A 6,000-nucleotide genomic window follows, 5' to 3' on the forward strand; every position below is an offset into this window, starting at 1 on the left:
TTCTCAGAATGTATCCCTGTCATTAAGCGATGCATGACTGTGTATTTTATGTCTAATTCAAGTCAAACACAATTTTTTAATATTGTATTTGTAATATGAAATGAAGACGTGGCAGGGCACAGTGGCTGATGCCTGTAATCCTAGAACTTTGGAAGCTGAGGCAGGCAGATGGCTTGAGCCCAGAAGTTCAAGACCAGCCTGGGAAATATGGTAAGACCCTGTCTCTACAAAAAAATTCAAAAATTAACTGGTGCGGTGGTGTGTGCCTGTAGTCCTAGCTACTTGGGAGGCTGAGGCGGGAGGATCACTTGAGCCTTGGAGGCAGAGGTTGCAGTGAGCCAAGATAGCGTCACTGCACTCCAGCATGAGCAACAGAGTGAGATTGTCTCAAACAAAGAAAAAAGAAATGAAGACTTGTTTACTTCATTGAGTAAATGATTACTGAACACTCACTATGTGCCAGGCATGTTCTCAATATGGGGGATTCACAGGTGATAAAGACAAACATAGTTTCTACTTTTCCATTATCATGAAGCCCAAATTTTTTAAAAATTTATTTTGCAGATGTCATCAAACGAAGTCTATGTGTTATCTTGAATCATTTACATTCAAAAATACTTAATCCTGCAATAAAATGTTAAAAAGTCACAGATGTTACAGAGTCAGGGTTGAAAAAGAGCTCATTAGTTCCAAGATGCACATTATTTTACATTTTGACATCTCTGAAATCAGTCACATCTTACAATGTAATCAGACTAGACGGCAATGGAGATGGAGTTGGCACTGCCGTGCATCAAAACTTCAAAACTCAGAATGAGCACTAGGGGCTTGGAAGAAAATCCCAGGTTTGATGGTAAAGGCACCATTTTAAGGAATTTTTTTTTTTTTTTTTGTGGTAGAGATGGGATATCGCTATGCTGACTGACCAGGCTGGTCTCAAACTCCTGGCCTCAAGCAATCCTCCCATCTGGGCCTCCCAAAGTGGTGGGATTACAGGCGTGAAGCACCACACCCAGCCTTAAGGATTTCTGATGATTCAAGATTCAATAAAACATAATAGTTCAAAGTTTTCATTTATTATAGGTGAGGAAAATGAAATTCAGAGTGGTCACACAACTTGCCCTAGTTTACAAAGCTGGACAGGTAGAATAGAGTCCAGGTCTGTTTTCTACAGTCATTCACTCTTCTACCAGTGTTCAGTTATATGGAGGAAAAGGGTGTCATACAAAACAAGTAGGTAAGAAGATGGCTCTAAGTTACAAAGACGGATTTGTAACTTAATCCGTCCTTGCCTCAGTTTCTCCATCTATTAAAACAGGGATTTAACAAACCTAACTCACAGTACTGCTGTAAGCATTAAATAAAATATGTCTAGCAATTATCACAAAGATTGGCATATGGTAAATACTCCATAAATGTCAACTACTTGAGATCAAACTTTACATTTATTATACACTAAGTCAAGCCCACATATAGTTGTCTAAAGCGCTTGAAAACTAAATAAACTGGTCAAGTGTTTGAAGTGATAAATACAATGAAAATTTCCACCTTAACAATGTTTTGTCCAGGTACTATGCCAAGAACCCAATAGACCTACCTGCAAGAAACCATACAAAAAGCAAGATTCCAGGCTGGCATGACGATCAAATTATGTACTTCAATGCGTGTGAATGCATTTATAAGCACAGTCTCAATACATAAATAAGGAACAAAATATTTAAAATGTATAAACAGATCATTTCTCTTTGCTTTCTTTAAAATACTATATCAGAATCACCTGAGGAACTTGATAACAATTTTTTTAAAAACTATTATAACTACGTATATTAAGCCTTGTTAAAACCACAAGTTTTAGAGGTTTAAGCCTTACTAGGTCAGCTCTTCTGATTTTGAGAGTTTAAGTGAAAATTTAAATTATAACACAGTATGTGGAGTAAACCTGCTTCAAATATTAGTTTCTACATTATTGTTTCTATAAAAATAGTAATCTTCTGTATTTTAATATCAACTCATCACATATTAAATATTTCAGTCAAATCAAAATTTCATTTGAAATCTTCAATCTAAAAAATACACAGTTAAGCGCTTAAAAAGTAATTTTAACCACTAGGAAATGTTAATGATTAACTCACATTTGTTTCTGTTTCACTCCATGACAAAGTCTATAGGACACCCTGCAGAGAGGAAAACTCACATTAATATACCCATAATTTTACTTTCAGAAGCTTCTGGTAATCAAAGACTTATTATGAGGTGTCTTCATGTTACCACTGCGCAGTAGCAAACTTAAAATATTCTAAAGATTAATCTATTTTCTCATTTTTTTAATGCTTTTGTTAAAATCTCAACAAGTACTAACATGTTATCTAAATTTAAACCTTAAAACAATAACACGACCCAATATGTGAACTCTGCCTATTAATTCTAAAACTTTTAATAATAGTTTGCTTATGTTTGAGACTTAAAACAATAACATACTGCACTACACCCATCTTAGATATTTTCTAGGATCAAAGTCTATCTGGAGCAGGGCAAGCTGTGGTTGAGGGTGGTTGGGTCAGCAGGTAAGAGCCTTATGACCAGCTCTAAACGCCTCCACGGTGAGGAGCACCTCGAGCTAACAGACCAAGCACCAAAGGGTGGAACAGCTCAAGGTTGCATTTAGGAGACTCCAGCCTCGGCCGCCCGTGACTCCTCGACGAGCCCCACCTCTCTCGGTTCCAGCATCCGGCCCGCCCCTTCCTCCCAGGCTACCACAGTATCGCCCGCCGAGCTCCCGGGCTGCGGGAAATGACGGAAACAAAAACTTGGTACACAAAGAAGGGCTAGGTCAGAAGTGAGGTCCCACCCTGGCAAGAAGGGCGACTTTTCTAGAAAAACTTAGCGGCAAGTTAACGGGAAGCGCGGCGACACAGTTCCTACGATTGTGGGGGGCACTCTGCCGCCAGGCAGTCTCATCCTTTGTCCTTTGAGAGGCCTCCTTGAAGCCGAAGGCTCTTAAGTGTCCCTGGGCAACCCTTGACTCGATCTCCATTACGGGCCCTCACTGACAGCAGCCATGACAGTTGCTTCCGGATATATTGAATCGCCGCGGCCAGAGTCTCCCGGAAGTGACGCAACGCGGAGGGATCCGCGTTCGGCAGTGGGAGACCGAAGCGAAGTGGTTCCCGGAAGCGGCTGCAGCTGGGCTGCTGGTGGCGGGGCGGGGGTAGAGTGGGGAGAGAGGTTGTGGGTCTTACAACCAACCAACCCCAACACGTTTTACGTGTTAGGCAGGCATTGTGCTGAACACCTCATTGGCAAGCCATTTAATCCCTTCCTTACAATCCCAGCAGTCAGAAATGTATCACTTACATTTTATATATGGGGAAACTAAGGTTAAGAGAGGGCAAGTAAATTTGTCCGAGATCGTATAGCTGGTACTTGGTGAACGTGGTCTAACCCAGACACCGCGTTCTCCCTGGTGACTCCATTTTGTAAAACCAGAGCTGTTGGCGCATGGCATCCTCGTAAGCCCCTTTAAGTTAGGCACTCTGTTGCCCAGAGAGGGGCCAACTTGTAGCCAGTATGCTCTTTATGGTGAACACAAGGCCCACGTGTGTGCCTGGGTCCCCTTGGCTGAACCTCGGATTTCAATTGGTTTCTGACACCTTGCCTTTGCAGCATTCTCCGTCTGCAGCGCTGGTTACCTGAGGAAACTGTCAATGATTGCTAGGCTCTGGGGAACATTTTAGCTCCGTTTAGGCCCTTTTAAATCCAGGACTAAGACAGTTGGAGGCCTCTCACCATCACCAGATACTCTAGCTGGCCTTAACAGAGGGCCAAGGACCATAATCTTGGACTTTCCACCAGACCAAGTGTTTGTTTGGCTTCTGTTTCTTTAGAATATGACTGAAAACCAATCTGTAGTTTGTTTAGTCTTCTTTCTGCATTGACCAGTACTCACATAATAAAGTGGGACTAGCCACTAAGGCTATGTTTTTGTAAAAACAAATTATGCCTAGAAAAACACAAGAAATACATCAAAATTAACAGTGATAGTGTTTGAATAGAGAGTGATTTTATTTTTTTCTCTCTGCTTTCTCTTTTGCATATCTGCTATAAAACCCTTTTAAAATAGAAAAATAAGCAAACTGGCTATGGTAAAAACATTTTTAATTGCCTGCTGTTATAATGACGGCAAAGGCATGTTGTCACATTTTGATAAATGACCGTCCTTGATACAAATCACGTAGAGAAATCCTGTTTGACTAGAAAAGCATTGGATTTTTGTGAGTCAGTGTATTCTCAAAATTTTCGATATTTTGTTTTGGTTCTATAATCCTCACAGGAAAAGTAAAAAAGCAAATTGATGTTTTTCACACACTTTCGTATGAGAGTATGCTACCACCAAAAGTCTTCCCTAAAACAAAGTTGCAGGGGTCAAGTCATGTGGGGCGTTTGGATACTTGAAATGGTGGAGAACAAATATAAAAAGCTATTTTTATTCTGGCTGCTTTGGGGTACAGTTTTAAGCAATTTATTTCAGACTGCCAAAGAAAGCTTCATTCTTTATTCACATACTCTACTTCCCACTATTGCTTATTAGTGACTTCTAAAGCAGTGACAAAACAAGTAAAAGAAGATAGAAAGGAAAAATGAGAAGGGATCACGGGAAGAAGAAAATGTGGAGGAACAAAGACAGATGGTGATATTGGGGTTACTTTGGAACTCCAGGGTAGCATGTAACAGCCTTCTTATCCAAGTCCTGGCACAGGCCTGGTTGCCTACTAAAAGGTAAATTAGCATCTATGATGTTCCTGCTCACATACTCAGCACCCACAGTGATAAGTCTTACTAAAAATTCATCTTGATGCGCATTCAAATTAGACATATATTTTAACAAAAATGGAGGGGTTGAACAACAAGAAATGTAAAGTAAAATCCCATCATTTTTCCTGTTTTTTTATCTTACCATGTCATTCATTCATCCTGTGGTTAGTAGTATAACTATAAACTGGAAGTTTTGCCTGCAGCATTATAAAGCAACAACTATGAAACGCCAAAGTGAGGTGCTGACAAGATGCATGTTTTCCAAAGAAATGTCTTTACATTAGTCTGGCTCTGATGAGAAGTTGTTATGATGGGATTAAATGTGCAACAATTTTATTAGAGGAAACACCTGTGAGAGAGAATGGGCGGGAGCCAAGCAAGACTGGGAGAGGCTGCAAGTCTGAAATTGAGTAAAGCAGAGAGAGAGGGAAGGGTGGTGGAAGTTTCCTGGACTGCCAAACAGTCTAAGCAAGATTTAGAAAGGCTATTGGAAATCCTCAAGCCAAAATCACCTGTCAGAGGAGTCCTTCTTTCAGGAGCCAGCCTGCCTTATTATCTGTGCTGCTCTCAGTCACCGGCTGGAGCAGCCCATGGGTGAAAATGTGGCCAGGGAATTCAGAGTGCAGCAAGCATCTAGAGCCCTTGATCAGTTTTGCTCCCTGTATTGGCAGCCACAGTCCAAGAACTGGTTTTGCCGCTATTGGAACCTTTCACCAGTTTCATGGGTTAAAAGAAGATGTTGAAAGAGATGAGTTTATGAGGAGAAGTTTTGGGGAGAGCCATTGTTATATGCTTCCCCAGTCACCTTCAAGTCTAGTGAAGGGGGCTTCAATAGCAATACTCAGAGAACTTGACATGCATTTCCTGGGTTTTGAGAGGTACAGTAGTATCGTGACTCACATCTGGGAAATCCCAGGGGTAGGAGAGATGGGCCAGTGAGAATTTTGGCATAGGAGTGAAGGAAAGTTGCTATGTTGGGATCTGTAGTCACTGCCGTAGTTTGTCAAGGCAAATGATGCCTGAGTGTTTCTCGTGCAGCAGATGTGGGCCACGTGAAAAAAAGAGAAAGTTGGCCTGAGACCTTTTTGACTCTTGTGTATGGAGAGAATCTGTATGGTATGGATTGTTAGAGAAGCCATAGCTGTAGATGGAGCAATAGCTGGAGGAACAGAATGTATTGCCTATCTA

At 41.1% G+C, this 6,000-nt stretch overlaps 1 long non-coding RNA gene across 4 annotated transcripts in view, besides 2 other annotated features; it reads right to left on the reverse strand.

Moving 5' to 3' along the window:
• ENTPD1-AS1 (ENTPD1 antisense RNA 1) overlaps window positions 1–3,102 on the reverse strand; it is a 337,030-nt gene extending 333,928 nt beyond the window's left edge. For all 4 annotated transcript variants that reach the window (NR_038444.1, NR_134321.1, NR_134320.1 and 1 more), the window contains exons 1-2: window positions 2,849–3,102; window positions 2,133–2,174 (exon numbers count right to left, since the gene is read on the reverse strand). This is a non-coding gene — a long non-coding RNA (ENTPD1 antisense RNA 1). The remainder of the gene's footprint in view (window positions 1–2,132; window positions 2,175–2,848) is intronic.
• Window positions 2,822–3,191: an enhancer, noted in NCBI's record as "active region_3815". NCBI's record gives its function as "activates an Ori minimal core promoter by ATAC-STARR-seq in GM12878 lymphoblastoid cells {active_cell/tissue: GM12878}" and the evidence as "EXISTENCE:reporter gene assay evidence [ECO:0000049][PMID:35858748]".
• Window positions 3,202–3,251: an enhancer, noted in NCBI's record as "active region_3816". NCBI's record gives its function as "activates an Ori minimal core promoter by ATAC-STARR-seq in GM12878 lymphoblastoid cells {active_cell/tissue: GM12878}" and the evidence as "EXISTENCE:reporter gene assay evidence [ECO:0000049][PMID:35858748]".

The sequence above is a fragment of the Homo sapiens genome, chromosome 10 (assembly GCF_000001405.40).
Source record: "Homo sapiens chromosome 10, GRCh38.p14 Primary Assembly".
Lineage (NCBI taxonomy): Eukaryota > Metazoa > Chordata > Mammalia > Primates > Hominidae > Homo > Homo sapiens.